Source organism: Homo sapiens, chromosome 11 (assembly GCF_000001405.40).
Source record: "Homo sapiens chromosome 11, GRCh38.p14 Primary Assembly".
NCBI lineage: Eukaryota > Metazoa > Chordata > Mammalia > Primates > Hominidae > Homo > Homo sapiens.
In genome coordinates this window covers 13,468,846-13,486,684 of record NC_000011.10, presented here as the reverse complement: position 1 = coordinate 13,486,684, position 17,839 = coordinate 13,468,846, and the positions used below count along the sequence as shown (strand labels likewise).

At 40.9% G+C, this 17,839-nt stretch overlaps 1 annotated feature.

Annotated features, from left to right (window-relative positions):
- Positions 14,197 to 14,762: an enhancer, noted in NCBI's record as "OCT4-NANOG hESC enhancer chr11:13493470-13494035 (GRCh37/hg19 assembly coordinates)". NCBI's record gives its function as "activates a minimal SCP1, AML or CMV promoter by ChIP-STARR-seq in naive and primed H9 embryonic stem cells {active_cell/tissue: H9 hESC(naive and primed)}" and the evidence as "EXISTENCE:reporter gene assay evidence [ECO:0000049][PMID:30033119]".

Genomic DNA, 17,839 nt, shown 5'->3' with positions numbered 1-17,839 from the left:
CAAACTCCGGACACACCAACTTTAAGAACTGTAGCACTCACCACAAGGGTCCCCGGCTTCATTCTTGAAGTCAGTGAGACCAAGAACCCACAAATTCTGGACACAAGGGAAAAATGCCAAAGGAGAGTGGGGCAGAGGCAGAGAGATGAGACATGGCCTCTGCTGAAGAGGTGAGGGCAGGATAGTACCCAGTAGCCAAGGAGGAGAGGAGAGACAAATGGGACTGTGAGCCAGGGGTGGAGATGCAAAGCTGGGAAGCACCCCCATCGCCTCTGGGATGAGGCTGGTGTCTCCAGGGGTGAGCCTGCCTGAGGACATGAGCCTGCAGAACCCAAAGATAGAGCCTCTGGAAAGACTCCAGCTGCCCCAGTCCCAGGCCAAGGCCTGGCTCACCTGTGGCTCACCTTAGCCGCGGGCAGCCCCGAGAACCCGATCCCTGCAGCAACTGCGTCGCCACCAGCACCACAGCTGCCGTCTTTATAGTTAATTTCGATGAACTCAGATATATCAATTTTTCACTTTATTGTTTGTATTTTTCAGGAGTCTTGTTGAAGAAGTATTTCCCCAGCCCTAGGCCACAAAGTTACCTCTTACATCTGCTTTAGAGTTTTACCTTTCACTTTGTTTTTTTCTTATTTTTTTTTAATTATACTTTAAGTTCTAGGGTACATGTGCACAACATGCAGGTTTGTTACATATGTATACAATGCCATGTTGGTGTGCTGCACCCATTAACTCGTCATTTAACATTAGATATTTCTCCTAATGCTATCCCTCCCCTCTCCCCCGACCCCACGACAGGAACCGATGTGTGATATTCCCCACCCTGTGTCCAGGTATCTCCAGAATTAGTTCCTTCCAGTGGGTTCTTGGTCTTGCTGACTTCAAGAATGAAACCACAGACCCTCATGGTGAGTGTTACAGCTCTTAAAGGTGGTGTGTCCAGAGTTTGTTCCTTCAGATGTTCAGATGTGTCCAGAGTTTCTTCCTTCTGGTAGGTTTGTGGTCTCGCTGACTTCAGGAATGAAGCTGCAGACCTTCCCAGTGAGTGGCACAGCTCTTAAAGGTGGTGTGGACCCAAAGAATGAGCAGCAGCAAGATTTATTGTGAAGAGCAAAAGAACAAAGCTTCCACAGCATGGAAGGAGACCCCAGCTGGTTGCCACTGCTGGCTGCCCCTCCTGGCTCAGGTGGCTAGCTTTTATTCCCTTATTTGGCCCCACCCACATCCTGCTGATGGGTCCATTTTACAGAGTGCTGATTGGTCCATTTTACAGAGTGCTGATTGGTGCGTTTTTACAGAGTGCTGATTGGTGCGTTTACAAACCTTTAGCTAGACATAGAGCGCTGATTGGTGTGTTTTTACCGAGTGCTGATTGATGCATTTACAAACCTTTAACTAGACTCAGAGCACTGATTGGTGTGTTTACAATCCTCTAGGTAGACAGAAAAGTTCTCCAAGTCCCTACAGAACAAGAAGCCAAGCGGGCTTCACCTCTCACAAGTGTTTTCATTGTTCAATTCCCACCTATGAGTGAGAACATGTGGTATTTGGTTTTCTGACCTTGCGACGGTTTGTTCAGAATGATGGTTTCCAGCTTCATTCATGTCCCTACAAAGAACATGAACTCATCCTTTTTATGGCTGCATAGTATTCCAGGGTGTATATGTGCCACATTTTCTTAATCTAGTCTATCATTGATGGACATTTGGGTTGTTTCCAAGTCTTTGCTATTGTGAATAGTGCTGCAATAAACATACGTGTGCATGTGTCCTTATACTAGCATGATTTATAATCCTTTGGGTATGTACCCAGTAATGGGATGCTGGGTCAAATGGTATTTCCAGTTCTAGATCCATGAGGAATCGCCACACTGTCTTCCACAATGGTTGAACTAATTTACACTCCCACCAACAGTGTAAAACTGTTCCTATTTCTCCACACCCTCTCCAGCACCTGTTGTTTCCTGACTTTTTAATGATTGCCATTCTAACTGGTGTGAGATGGTGTCTCATTGTGATTTTGATTTGCATTTCTCTGATGGCCAGTGATGATGAGCATTTTTTCATGTGTTTTTTGGCTGCATAAATGTCTTCTTTTGAGAAGTGTCTGTTTATATCCTTCACCCGCTTTTTGATTGGGTCATTTGACTTTTCTCTTGTAAATTTGTTTAAGTTCTTTGTAGATTCTGGATATTAGCCCTTTGTCAGATAGGTAGATTGCAAAAATTTTCTCCCATTCTGTAGGTTGCCAGTTCACTCTGATGATAGTTTCTTTTGCTGTACAGAAGCTCTTTAGTTTAATTAGATCACATTTATCAATTTTGGCTTTTGTTGCCATTGCTTTTGGTGTTTTAGTCATGAAGTCCTTGCCCGTGCCTATGTCCTGAGTGGTATTGCCTAGGTTTTCTTCTAGGATTTTTATGGTTTTAGGTCTAACATTTAAGTCTTTAATCCATCTTTAATTAATTTTTTTACAAGGTGAAAGGAAGGGATCCAGTTTCATCTTTCTACATATGGCTAGCCACTTTTCCCAGCACCATTTATTAAATAGGGAATCCTTTCCTCATTTCTTGTTTTTGTCAGGTTTGTCAAAGATCAGATGGTTGCAGATGTGTGGTATTATTTCTGAGGGCTCTCGTTCTGTTCCATTGGCCTATATCTCTGTTTTGGTACCAGTACCGTGCTGTTTTGGTTACTGTAGCCTTGTAGTATAGTTTGAAGTCAGGTAGTGTGATGCCTCCAGCTTTGTTCTTTTTGCTTAGGATTATCTTGGCAATGCGGGCACTTTTTTGGTTCCATCTATTAAGATAATCATGTGGTTTTTGTCTTTGGTTCTGTTTATATAATGGATTATGTTTATTGATTTGCATATGTTGAAGCAGCCTTGCATCCCAAGGATGAAGCCCACTTGATCATGGTGGATAAGCTTTTGGATGTGCTGCTGGATTTGGTTTGCCAGTATTTTATTGGGATTTTTGCATTGATGTTCATCACGGATGTTGGCCTAAAATTCTCTTTTTTCATTGTGCCTCTGCCAGGCTTTGGTATCAGGATGATGCTGGCCTCATAAAATGAGTTAGGAAGGATTCCTTCTTTTTCTATTGATTGGCATAGTTTCAGAAGGAATGGTACCAACTCCTCTTTGTACCTCTGGTAGAATTAGGCTGTGAATCCATCTGGTCCTGGACTTTTTTTGTTTGGTAGGCTATTAATTATTGCCTCAATTTCAGAGCCTGTTATTGGTCTATTCAGGGATTCAACTTCTTCCTGGTTTAGTCTTGGGAGGGCGTATGTGTCCAGGAATTTATCCATTTCTTCTAGATTTTCTAGGTTATTCACATATAGGTGTTTATAGTATTCTCTGATGGTAGTTTGTTTTCTGTGGGATTGGTGGTGATATCCCCTTTATCGTTTTTTATTGTGTCTATATGATTCTTTTCTCTTTTCTTCTTTATTAGTCTTGCTAGCTGTCTATCAATTTTGTTGATGTTTTCAAAAAACCAGCTCCCAGATTCATTGATTTTTTTGAAGGATTTTTTGTGTCTCTGTCTCCTTCAGTTCTGCTCTGATCTTAGTTATTTCTTGCTTTCTGCCACCTTTTGAATTTGTTCTTGCTTCTCTATTTCTTTTAATTGTGATGTTAGGGTGTCAATGATAGATTTTTCCCATTTTCTCCTGTGGGCATTTAGTGCTATAAACTTCCCTCTAAACAGTGCTTTAGCTGTGTCTCAGAAATTCTGGTACATTGTGTTTTTGTTCTCATTAGTTTCAAAGAACATATTTATTTCTGCCTTAATTTCATTATTTACCCAGTAGTCATTCAGGAGCAGGTTGTTCAGTTTCCATGTAGTTGTGCTGTTTTGAGTGAGTTTCTTAATCCTGACTTCTAATTTGATTGCACTATGGTCTGAGAGAGAGTTTGTTAAGATTTCTATTCTTTTACATTTGCTGAGGAGTGCTTTACTTCCAACTATGTGGTCAATTTTGGAATAAGTGTGATGTGGTGCTGAGAAGAATTGTATTCTGCTGATTTGGGGTGGAGAGTTCTGTAGATGTCTATTAGGTCTGCTTGGTGCAGAGCTGAGTTCAATTCCTGGATATCCTTGTTAACTTTCTGTCTCATTGATCTGTCTAATGTTGACAGTGAGGTGTTAAAGTCTCCCATTATTATTGTGTGGGAGTCTAAGTCTCTTTGTAGGTCTTTAAGGACTTGCTTTATGAATCTGGGTGCTCCTGTATTGGGTGCATATATATTTAAAATAGCTCTTCTTGTTGAATTCATCTCTTTACCATTATGTAATGGCCTTCTTTGTCTCTTTTGATCTTTGTTGGTTTAAAGTCTATTTTATCACAGACTAGGATTGAAACCCCTGCTTTTTTGCTTTGTTTTGTTTTCCATTTGCTTGGTAGATCTTCCTCCATCCCTTTATTCTGAGCCTATGTGTGTCTTTGCATGTGAGATGGGTCTCCTGAATACAGCACACTGATGGGTCTTGACTCTTTATCCAATTTGCCAGTCTGTGTCTTTTAATTGGGGCATTTAGCTCATTTACATTTAAGGTTAATATTGTTATGTGTGAATTTGATCCTGTCATTATGACGTTAGCTGGTTATTTTGCCCATTAGTTGGTGCAGTTTCTTCAGAGCATCAATGGTCTTTACAATTTGGCATGTTTTTGCAGTGGCTGGTACTGGTTGTTCCTTCCCATGTTTAGTGCTTCCTTCAGGAGCTCTTGTAAGGCAGGCCTGGTGGTGACAAAATCTCTCACCATTTGCTTGTCTATAAAGGATTTTATTTCTCCTTCAATTATGAAGCTTAGTTTGGCTGGATATGAAATTCTGGGTTGAAAATTATTTTCTTTAAGAATGTTGAATATTGGCCCCCACTCTCTTCTGGCTTGTAGAGTTTTTGCTGACAGATCCGCTGTTAGTCTGATGGGCTTCACTTTGTGGGTAACCTGACCTTTCTTTCTTGCTGCCCTTAACATTTTTTCCTTCATTTCAACCTTGGTGAATCTGACAATTATGTTTCTTGGGGCTGCTCTTCTGGAGGAGTATCTTTGTGGTGTTCTCTGTATTTCCTAAATTTGAATGTTGGCCTGCCTTGCTAGGTTGGGGAAGTTCTCCTGGATAATATCCTGCAGAGTGTTTTCCAACTTGGTTCCATTCTCCCCATCACTTTCAGGTACACCAATCAAACGTCAATTTGGTCTTTTCACATAGTCCCATATTTCTTGGAGGTCTTGTTCATTTCTTTTTACTCTTTTTTCTCTAAACTTCTCTTCTCGCTTCATTTCATTTATTTCATCTTCAATCACTGATACCCTTTCTTCCAGTTGATTGAATCGGCTCTGAAGCTTGTGCATTTGTCATGTAGTTCTCGTGCCATGGTTTTCAGCTCCATCAGGTCATTTAAGGTCTTCTCTACACTGCTTATTCTAGTTAGCCATTCTTCTAATCTTTTTTCAACGTTTTTAGCTTCCTTGTGATGGGGTTCAAACATCCTCCTTTAGCTTGGAGAAGTTTGTTATTTCTGATCTTCTGAAGCCTACTTCTGTCAACTTGTCAAAGTCATTCTCCGTCTAGCTTTGCTCCGTTGCTGGCAAGGAGCTGCAATCCTTTGGAAGAGAAGAGACAGTCTGGTTTTTAGAGTTCTCAGGTTTTCTGCTCTGGTTTCTCCCCATCTTTGTGGTTTTATCTGCCTTTGGTCTTTGATGATGGTGACCTACAGATGGGGTTTTGGTGTGGATGTCCTTTCTGTTGATGCTATTCCTTTCTGTTTGTTAGTTTCCCTTCTAACAGTCAGGACCCTCAGCTTCAAGTCTGTTGGAGTTTGCTGGAGGTCCACTCCAGACCCTGTTTGCCTGGGTAGCACCAGCAGAGGCTGCAGGACAGCAAATATTGCAGAACAGCAAATATTGCAGAACAGCAAATGTTGCTACCTGATCCTTCCTCTGGAAGCTTTGTCTCAGAGAGGCATCAAGCTGTATGAGGTGTCAGTCGGCCCCTACTGGGAGGTGTCTCCCAGTTAGGCTACTTGTGGGTCAGGGACCCAGTTGAGGAGGCAGTCTGTCCATTCTCAGATCTCAAACTCCATGCTAAGGGAACCACTGTTCTCTTCAAAGCTGTCAAACAGGGATGTTTAAGTCTGCAGAAGTTTCTGCTGCCTTTTGTTCAGCTATGCTCTGCCCCCAGAGGTGGAGTTTGCAGAGGCAGGGAGTTCTCCTTGAGCTGCAGTGGGCTCCACCCAGTCCGAGCTTCCCAGCCACATTGTTTACCTAGTCAAGCCTCAGCAAAGGTGGATGCTCCTCCCCCAGCCTCGCTGCTGACTGGCAGTTCGATCTTGGACTGCTGTGCTAGCAGTGAGCAAGGCTCCGTGGGCGTCGGGCCCACCGAGCCAGGCATGGGATATAATCTTCTGGTGTGCCATTTGCTAAGACCATTGGAAAAGCGCAGTATTATGGCAGGAGTGTCCCGATTTTCCAGGTACCATCTGTCATGGCTTTGCTTGGCTAGGAAAGGGAATTCCCTGACCCCTTGCACTTCCTAGGTGAGGTGATGCCCCACTCTGTTTCAGCTCACACTCCATGGGCTGCAACCACTGTCTAACCAGTCCCAATGAGATGAACCCAGTACCTCAGTTGGAAATGCAGAAATCACCCATCTTCTGCGTCGCTCATGCTGGGAGCTGTAGACTGGAGCTGTTCCTATTCAGCCATCTTAGAGCTGGATCTACCTTTCACTTTAAGGTAGTTATTCTTCTGAAGACTAGTCTTGTGTATGCTAAAATGCTATGTTTGCGTTTTATTGACTTTTTCATATGGACAGTCAGTATCCCAAACACCATCTGTGAAACAATCCATTATTTCCCCATGGCTTTATGGAGACATTTTAAAAATCATACCTTAGGTTCTTGGGTTAAACATAGGTCTATTTTTTATTTTATTTAATTTTGAGGGAAAAGAGGCTGAAAATTTGCCTTATTGTGCTCTTTGAATCAACTTTCAGTTCATGCCAACAAATGACTCTTCCTGGACTTTTCCTTCATTTCCCAACTTAATCCTTGGACACCATGTCCCTCTGAATATCTCCAGCCCTGTGATTCTCCTCCCCATGTGGGGCATACACAGGAAACCTTCCTTCTCAAGTCCACGGGGGTTGAGCCTATGAACAGACAACCTAGGCACTCTTCAGAAACAAGTTCTTGGTTACATGAGGAAGCAGCAGTTCACGGAGGTAGCCCTGGGAAACACACAAGAGGAGAAACAAAACTAGCCCTCACACTGTGGGCCTCTTGGGTTTGGTCCAATTTTATCTTGAGCAAAGACCAGTATTTACAATTAAGTTAGGTTTTAAAATCAATTGTTTATTTTTGCAATTCTAATCTTAAAGCTTCCTTTTTAGTAAAACAAATGGTTTCTCAAACTTATAAACTCCTGGTAATGTCAAAAAAGATGAAAGTGTATGATCTGACAGTTTCATCCTGCATATTCCTCTTTTCCTGGCTCCCTGAGAGGACTGTGGTCAAATTATGACATCGATACCTTCCTTGGTACAGATCTTCATGTGTTGCATGTTCTCACCCTCTCTTGGGATCCCAGGTCCAAAGAGTGAAAATAGAGGCTCCAAGATAGACATATTGTGAAGGTGAATAAATGGAAACTATCAGACGTGTTGAAAAATGAAATGGTTTTCAGGTCACAGTCCAGGAAAATCCCCACTTCTAAGTTTGGGCTCACATGGAGAACCGTCCTAGTTTCTGTGCTAGCAGTGACTTCACATACGCTCTTGAGGCTCACCACTCAGAACCAGAGATCTGATGATACTAGGAAAGGTTCTTCATGAAATGCAGATTCTCTGCAAACACCCGCAATCCATCTTTTTATTTCTCCCACTTTCAACTCCTAATAATGTCAGCCAGAGGTGAAGCACGAGGACCCTAGGACAGGAGGAACAGAGATTAATGTCTTGGCATTCTCTGGTGGTCTCATCTGGACATATCTCCATAAGAGGCTCCACAGGTCATTAGAAAATATGAGGAGGTTATTACTTGTGGCCACATTCAGACTCATCTTTTCATAGAACTCCATGCAGAACATGCTCAGCACAAGTGTCACAAGTGTCATCACTGTGATCTCAGCCACTAGCTTCCCCAGGGCCATATTGGTCTAGATCCTCTGGATCCAAGAGATGTCAAGACACTGGGAACAAGTGAAAGGACATGCTAGTTCTCCCTCTCCAACTGCCTGAGGCAGGTGAAGCAGAAGTTGTGTTTGCAGGGCGTCAAGCAGGGATCTTTGAATAGTTTAAGTTAAATGGGACATGTCAATTCTTTTTTGTGTTTTTCTGCTATGGCCACCATTTCAACATAGCTATTCTCAGTTTTGTGCTGCTCTAGGGTACTACAATTCTTCTCAACTGGATTCTGGAATTCTCATAAAGGCATTTTTAAGCCTCATAAAGTCTCCCTATATCATTGTTAAATAAATGTTTCTGTGAGGCAATGAGGGCTGGAACTTCCTATTCTGCCATCTTGCTGATGTCACAAATATAGGTTTATATTTGAGCTCTCTTTGTTTATTCTGTTCTAATGATGTATTTGTTCAAGTAATATAAATTAAGTGTACACACATGCACACATCCTTCTTTATAGACGTCTGTTCTCCCATATAAATTTTACAATCAACTGAGCTCTCTTCTAAAAAAAGCCAATTGCAATTTTGATTGGGATTGTATTAAAATTATAAATTTGTGTTAGGAGGAATTGTCATCTTTATTATATCATCCTATTCATTGATACTGTAAGGGTCTTCATTTATTCTGATCTCATTTTATGCCTTTTAAATAGTTCAAATTTTCTCTGGAAAGATCTTACATAGCCTTCGTTAATTGCTGAATACTATGTAGTTTATTGTGTGGTTATTATGAAAAGTATCTAAATGTTAATTACATTTTCTATTTAGTTATTTTTGGTATACAGGAACATTGTTCATTTTTCTACTTTTATCTTACATCCAACAACCCTGCTGGACTCTCTTATTAATTCTAATAGTTTGTCTTTTGATTAAGCTTGTTATACATGTAGATAATCATATAATCTCAAATAGTGATACTTTTTTCTCTTTTTTCCCCTCTGATTACACCTTTTTTTCAATTCTTATGGCATTATTCAGTACCTCTAAGTTCTTGTTAATGAGTGATGATGTTGAGCTTCCTTATCATATTCTTTACCTTAATAGGAATGTGTCCATAATTTCTCAAGAAGAGAAAGTCCATTAACACATTGATGACATTCCCTTTTACAACTAGTTTTCCAAGAGTTCATTTGAGATAATAAAAGGGAATTAAACTTTATAAAATGATTTTCCAAACACATGCAATGTTTTACTTTTAGCTCAATGTGATAAGTTAAATATATTTACATGCCTGGGATAGAACCTACTTAATATCGATATGTTTTTACTTTTTTAAACAGTAAAATTTATTGTACATATAGAAGCCTGCATAAAACATATATGCAAATTTTTAAGAAAAAAATAGAATTAACTTCCATTACTCACCACTGAGATTATGAAATACAATATTGCCAGTACAAAAATTTCTTGTAAGACCTTTCTCTATCACATCCCCCAATTCATCCCCATTTTACTTTTATCATTAGTCTTTCTATTATCTATATATAAAATCTGTGTAGATTTTATATATACATATAGATTTCATATGTATAAATAGTATACCTATACATATATAATCTAATCAAAGGGTGTGTGTATATGTGTGTGTGTATATATATATATATATATATACACACGTATATGCCTTTTAAAGATTTCAAATTTAACCATTTAATAAATACACACTATTTAATAAATAGTGTGTGTATATGTGTATATATATACTCCTTGGTTATTTTATATTGAAAAGCTAGTATTAGACTATTCAGTCTAATTAACGGGTATATGATTAGATTGAATGGTCTGATACTAGCTTTTCAAATGTTTGCCTTCGAAAAACGTAGGCTGTCTTTTCACCTTGTGATATTACCATCCATCTGGCTAAGCCCCATCTCTCTATTTTTAAATTTTTGCTAGTCAGAATCCCATTTAAAGGTATTCATTTCTGAGTTCATTAGGGTGAACAAATTGCTATAACAAATACATCCCAAATGTATATTCACTTAAATTGAATAGAAGTTTATTTCTTGTTCATATAACATTACTGGAGCCAGGCGCAGTGGCTCACGCCTATAATCCCAACACTTTGGGAGGCTGATGTGGGTGGATCACTTGAGGTCAGGAGTTTGAGACCAGCCTGGCCAACATGGTGAACCACATCTCTACTAAAAATACAAAAATTAGCTGGGCATGGTGGTATGCGTCTGTAATCCCAGCTACTCAGGAGGCAGGAGAACCTGGGAGGTGGAGATTGTAGTGAGCTGAGATCATGCCACTGCACTCCAGCCTGGGGGACAGAGTGAGTGAGACTCTGTCTCAAAAAACAAACAAACAAAAATTACTGGAATGTTATATTCCCAGGCAGGCAAACAGGTCAACAGGATGACCAGGAATTCTATTTCTACCATGTAACACTGGGGTTGTTTCCAGTCCAGTTAGCTGGAATTGAAAAATGTAAGAATACTTGTGTGAAGGTGTTATGGGCCAGGCCTGGAAAAGGTGACATTATCTCTTAACATTCCATGAACTATAATATAGTCACGTAACCACACTTGATTTTTTTTTCTTTTTCTTTTTTTTTTAGAGACAGTCTATCTCTGTTACTCATGCTGGAGTGCAGTGGTGTGAATTCCACTCACTGCAACCTCCACCTCCTGGGTTCAAGTGATTCTCGTGCCTCAGCCTCCTCAGTAGCTGGGACTACAGGTGCCTGCTGACACGCTCGGCTAATTTTTTTGTATTTTTAATAGAGACGGGGTTTCACTGTGTTGGCCCGGATGGTCTTGATCTCCTGACCTCGTGATCCACCCGCCTCGGCCTCCCAAAGTGCTGGGATTACGGGCATGAGCGACTGCGCCCGGCCCTCATTTTTTATGATAGCCATTCTTGTGCATGTGTATTGGTATCTCATTGTGGTTTTAATTTACATTTACTTAATGACTAAGAACTTTGAGCACCTTTTCCTATGTTTATAATTCATTTATATGTCTTCATAGAAGTGTCTGTGCAAGTCTTTTGCCACTCTTTAATTGTACTCTTTTGTCTTCTTATTTATTATGGAGTTGAGTTCTTTATATATTCTTATATAAGTCCTTCATATAATTTACAAACATTTCTTTTTGAGACAGCCAGGTGGGAAGGGGTCCCCAGAGAAACTCCAACCAGCCTGTGCACTGAGAGGAATGCACACTGGGGTGGAGTCACAGAAGTTCGTGCCTTTTGCAGTTGGGTGGAGTCTGGCCCCTCCTCTTCCTGGGTGGAACCTGGAATTCAATCTGTGAGGTGGGAAGCACACTAACAGGGACTTTGGCTGTGTGGAGAGTCCCTGTTTCTCATTTTTTCCTTTTTGCCCAATGAATTCCACTATTCTCACCCTTCAAAGTGTCTGCGAGGCTAATATTGGCCGTGTGACAAGGACCTGGCTCTTAGCTAAACTAAGTAGGAAATCCTACAATATCTTGTTGAACTAAAAGAAGAAACTGAGGCAAAATGTAGGGATAAGTTGCATTTTTCCCTTTTCTGCTCTTTGTCATGAAAGGAATGAGGGGCTATGAAAAACTCGTTCATGGGGGAAGACCAGATTCCGTCAAGAGACCCCATATAAGTGGAAGTTGCTGTTGCGGGCTGGTATTGATATTGCATAGCCATTATAGGTGGAATCTTTGTGATCTGGAAGATATAAACTTAATGAGAGCAATAAAAAGGCAGAGACAAAATATTAAAAGAAGAATGACAAGGAATACAGGTCTAAAGAATGGAAGAAGCCATGTGATTTCAATAAAGGTTTTGGTCCAGTCTTGGTTACTTTGGAAAAGTGTGTGTATCAGTTTCCATTTTTTCAGATACATTAATGTAGGTGCAACAAGTTTTGTTGATGACAGCACAGATTCCTCTTTGTTCAGCTAGGAGGTAATTTTGAGCTTGTCCATTACAAAAAACCATTCCTCCTAGTGAGTCTAAAGACTTTTCTATCGCTGATATACTTGTGCCAGTTTTTGCTAAGGCTATGTCAAGGGAGGCGGTAAGTTCTTGTAGTGTGATTTCATGGTAAGTAAAACCTCCAAGTGGCAAGAGTGAGACAGTTCCCACAACTGTGGCCACATTAAATCCTAGGGCCCTTTTTTTCTAGAATGAAATTCTGAATTGGAGTTATGTTCAAGACAGTGATTTGGGTGGGAGCTATTGTTCCCAAAATACAATCACCATAATGAAGAGAATTATCAAGGTGGCACAGGGCCAAAGCTTGAACATGGATTAAATAATTATTGGTGGTGCTACAAAACCGTAAGATTCCAGGAGGGGCAAGTAATATAGCTTGAGGCTTTTTTGGACTAAGAGGGCCACTGATGCTAAAGCTTCAAAGCAGGGGGCCATCCCTGGGAAATCAAGTCTAAAATTTTGAAAAATATGTTATAGGGCACTTAGAGGGCCCCAGATTTTGGGCTAAGACACCCAAAGCAATTCCCCTTCATTCATGTACATACAAAAGCAAGAACTTAGTCAGATCTTTTAGGGCTAAGGCTGGGCTGAGATTAAAGCCTGTTTTAAAGTGTTTAGAGCATGCTTCATGTCATTAGTCCCTAAGAGAGGTTGTTCCTCAGTTCCCTTGAGGGCTTCATATGAAGGTTTTGTTATTATTCTGAAGGAAGGAATCCATATTCTGCAAAACCCAGACATACCCAAAAAGGACCAAAGCTATTGTTTAGTTACAGGGGTTGTCATTTTAAGGTAAGATCTTTACTGGCACTAGAAAGGCTCATTGTACTGGGGGTTAAACTAAGACCCCAAAATTGAATGCTTTGTGCAGATATTTGTACTTTGGAAGAAACTTCTTTGTACCCACAGTTAGCAAATTTGTTTAGTTACAAATACTGTATTTTGGTCTGAAACAGCCTTGGTAGGACTACAGATTAGTAGGTCATCCACATACTGGAGTATATTGCTATCTGGGAGAGGCTGCAGGGTGGACAGGTCTTTAGCTAGGGCCTGTCCAAAAAGGCGGGGGTTATCTCTGAATCCCTGGCACAGAACTGTCCAAGTTAACTGTTGAGTTATTTGAGTATCTGGGTTTTGCCTTTCAAAGGCAAAAAAAAAAAAAAAAAAAATAGCTATCTGGGTATATAGGAATGCAGGAAAAGGTGTTCTTAAGATCAAGTACAGTAAACCAAGCTGTGGTAGATGGAATTTATCTACAAAGGGTGTAAGGGTTTGGGACGATAGGATGAATAGGAATAACAGCTTCATTAATTATTCTAAGGTCCTGTACTAGTTGGCAGGAGCCATCTGGTTTACTTACAGCTCAAATAGGAGTGTTGCAAGGTGAGTTGCATGAGCTCAGTAATCCATGGGCTAAAAATTTTGTCATTTCAGGCTTTAACTATTTTCATGCTTCTGGTTTCAAGGATATTGGGGGATTCTGAGGAACTCATTGGGATTTTTAAGCTGAATGATGACAGAAACAGCTGATATTGAGCGGCCAGGAGCAGATGTATTCCAAACCTCAAATGGCATTTGTTTTAGAATGTGAGGTTCTATTGACTGCAGTGGCTCTTTTGGTGAAGTGTGAGTTAATACAGCTAGAAGGTGAGGTTATAACTGTAAATTCGCTTGTAATTTTGTGAGTAAGTCATGACCCAATAATGGAACAGGGCAGCTTGGCAGGACTAAAAGGAGTAGTTAAAGGATGAGTTTTCCATTTTGCAAGGGAGTGGCAGTGTGAAACAGCTACATTGGGGTTTTCCTTCAATACCCATGAGGGAAATGGAGGACTGGCACATTGGGTTACAATAAATGTTTAAAGTTGGACCCTGTATCTATGAGGAACATTATTTCTTGTTCAGCCACGATCAGATTTATCTGAGGCTCATCCATAGAAGTGGAAAAGACAGGGGCCTGGATAGCCTCACAGCCCCATCAGTCATCTAGAGGATGACTTTCAAAGTCTTGAGCATAACCCAGGAATAGTGTTAGAGGTGCTTGTCCTTGCCCTTGCCCTAGTCCTCGTTCTGCAGGAATTTCTCATCAGGTAGGTTGGCAAGGTTGTGGCTATGACAGCACAGAAAGAAGAGGTGGTCCCATCTCATGAGGGAAAGAGGGACAATCGCTCTTCCAATGGCCCTCTTGTTTGAAATGAAGACAGGGTCCTGAAAGCAGCTTGTAAGCCAGAGGTTTGGGACATTCTCTACTCCAGTGTCCTGGATTTCTGCAGCGATGACAGGCCTCCATACTATTAGTATTATAGGGACAAGCCTTGGGGTTGTTAGCTAAGGAGAAAGAATGCGCCAATGCTGCCACCATGTAATTAGCATGACAACAGCATTTTTCCTCCTCCAATTGAGCCTTTTTTATTTTTGATGTTTCCTCGCAGTTACTGAAAACCTTAAAGGCTGTATTTAACAATGTAAGAAAGGGAGTTTGTGGACCTTTATCTAATTTTGGGAGTTTTTGTCTGATGTCTCGGGAAGCCTGACTTATAAAATGTATGGCCAGAATGGATTGGCCCTTAGGGTTTTCAGTGTCTAAATTTGTTTATTTATTCATAGCCTCCACCAGTCTAGCTTGGAAAAGGGCAGGATTCTCATGGCTCCTGGGTGATTTCTCATACTTTAGAAAAATTAACAGGTTTTATTACAGCCTTTTTCATTCCTTCCAACAAGCAAGTTATCATATAATCTAATCTGCCCCACCTCTGTTTGGGCTGGCATTGGCATCCTGGTACTGCCAGCTGGGTTCTGTGTCGTGGACAGCTTCTGCCCCAGCTTTGTTATCATTAAGATTACAAGCATGAGCTTCATCTGCCCAAGCTTGAGCTAAGACCATATGCATGATTTTTCTTTTTCTTTTTTTTTTTTAGAAGTTTATCAATTTTTTTTTTATTTTACTTTAAGTTCCGGGATACATGTGCAGAACGTGCAGGTTTTTTACATAGGTATACATGTGCCATGGTGGTTTGCTGCACCTATCAACCCGTCATCTAGGTTTTAAGCCCTGCATGCATTAGATATTTGTCCTAATGCTCTCCCTCTCCTTTTGCCCCACCCCCCAACAGGCCCTGGTGTGTGATGTTCCCCTCCCTGTGTCCATGTGTTCTCATTGCTCAGCTCTTACTTATGAGTGAGAACATGCAGTGTTTGGTTTTCTGTTCCTGTGTTAGTTTGTTGAGAATGAAGGTTTCCAGCTTCGTCCATGTCCCTGCAAAGGACATTCTTCTTTATGGCTGCATATTATTCCATGGTGTATATGTGCCACATTTTCTTTATCCAGTCTATCATTGATGGGCATTTGGGTTGGCTCCAAGTCTTTGCTATTGTAAATAGTGCTGCAATAAACATACATGTGCATGTGTCTTTATAGTAGAATGATTTATAATCCTTTGGGTATATACCTAGTAATGGGATTGCTGGGTCAAATGGTATTTCTGGTTCTAGATCCTTGAGGAGTTGCCACACTGTCTTCCACAATGGATGAACTAATTTACACTCCCACCAACAGTGTAAAAGCATTTCTATTTCTCTGCATCCTTGCCAGCATCTGTTGTTTCCAGACTTTTTAAAGATCACCATTCTAACTGGTGTGAGATGATATCTCATTGTGGTTTTGATTTGCATTTCTTTAATGACCAGTGATAATTAGCTTTTTTTCATATGTTTGTTGACCTCATAAATGTCTTCTTTTGAGAAGTGTCTGTTCATACCCTTTGCCCACTTTTTGATGGGGTTGTTTGTTTTTTTCTCGTAAATTTGTTTAAGTTCCTTGTAGATTCTGGACATTAGACCTTTGTCAGATGGATAGATTGCAAAAATTTTTATATACATGATTTTTCTTCATGAGAACAACTAGTTAATAACACGAATATATCTTGCCAGGTTAAATCAAAGGCAATAGTTAAAGCCTGAAATTTCTGAATGAACTTAGAGGGATCCTGGCTAAATGAACTCAACTTGGATTGAATTTGTGAAAGATCAGACATTGGAAAAGAAAAATGAACTTGCGTTGTTCCCAAATCTCCATTTGCTACCTTGCAGAGAGGCAAAATATTTTTGGGATTTTCTGAGGACTCTGTACTACTAGTGGCATATGCGACTCCTGTGTGAGTATGTGAGGAGGATAAAGTATTGCATATGGTGGAAGTTGATTGGGGGATGGAACAGATGAAGAGGGTGTAAGTGCAGGGGGAACATTCTGAGGAGAGTGTGATAGACAAAAGAAACGATCATCTAAGACATCAGAATCAGGGAGAGAGGAACTTCCTTGGAAGCATACACGATGATTTTTATGTAATTTTGGGTTTTGGGATAAAGCTAAAAAGACCTGAACATCAGGTCAGAGGTATGGGACCCCTGATTATAAAAGAGAATTATACACTTTTTTTTTTGAGAGTTTGTGGGTTAAAATGGGACCAATTTTTAAGACTGAAACCTAATGGCAAGAAGGAATGAATTAAAGAATAAATTGAACCCATGTTGGGTTTTGGTAAGGGACTACAAGATCCCCGAGGCTTCCCTGAGGGATTTGGACGTCCCTTTTCCCTTCGACTCACTCTATTCAGGGGTGTCCCACCACAAATAGAGGGCCTACCCTTTCCTGGATGACCAGTACAACTGTTCCCTTGTTTGAGTGGTCAGCTCAAGCCTAATGTGAAGAACTCACCCGTAACTTGGGATGAGGTGCCTGTGATGAAGTTAAATGCAAAAGTGGGTCGGCAACCTGTAGAGTGTGTCTGTGCAGTGTTCAGATCACTGCTGCTCATTTCCAAGGCACAATTTACAGAGTGTTAAAAGTGGACTTGCCACCCTGACGGGTAATAGCAAATTCGCTCTTTAGTTATGCCATCGGGTATCATCAGTTCACATAATACAAGGGAGGGCCCTCAGCCGGAAACCCTCAATTGCCAACGAGTATTCAAGCTGGCTCACTGGCAGTCCAAAAACAGAAAAGAACCCTGGCTAGTCCGTCACCCCTAAGGACAGCAACAAAGTATAAGTATCCCTTCTCTAGGGCTTCAGGATCTCAGCCTTGGCCAAGGGCCTTTGGTTCCCAAGTGAAGAACCAGACCACTGAGGGAAGCAGGAGGACAAAGAAGGGAGAAATCTCAGTAAAGTCCCCATATGGTCAAGATGCCAGGCAAGGTGTCAGAGCCCTGGAATTGGGAGGAGTTTGAATCTCAGGTCGGTAAAAAGATCGGCACCAGTATAGGTTTGAAAAAGGAAAGTTTATTAGAATGTGGCAGAGGAGTGCAGTGGGAAGCCTCAGTGAGAGGACTGAGCGTGCTGTGGTGGATTTTTCACTGGAGAATTTGTGGACCTTAAGGCGGGAGCGTATGGAGAATTTATGGACCATAAGGCAGGAGCGTAGGGTTGTAAAATGAGTTTCCACATGGCATTCCAGAGATATATAGGAATTTTAGTTACTTATAAAAGTTGAAAGAGACCTGGAACCACATGCCGACTTTAGCTACCAGGGAAGTTTAATTACTTCTGATTTTCCCTAGATAAGGAGTTTTGCCTCCGGATGGCCTGCTTGATAGTCACCAGGTGGTCTTTGCTCCCTTCTAAATTCCTCAGATAAGGAGTTTTTGTCTCCGGGGCCTGTTCAATGATCACCACGTGATTTTGCTCTCCTCAATGGGTACATGCCTATGTTTGTATATTGTCTACATGGTGC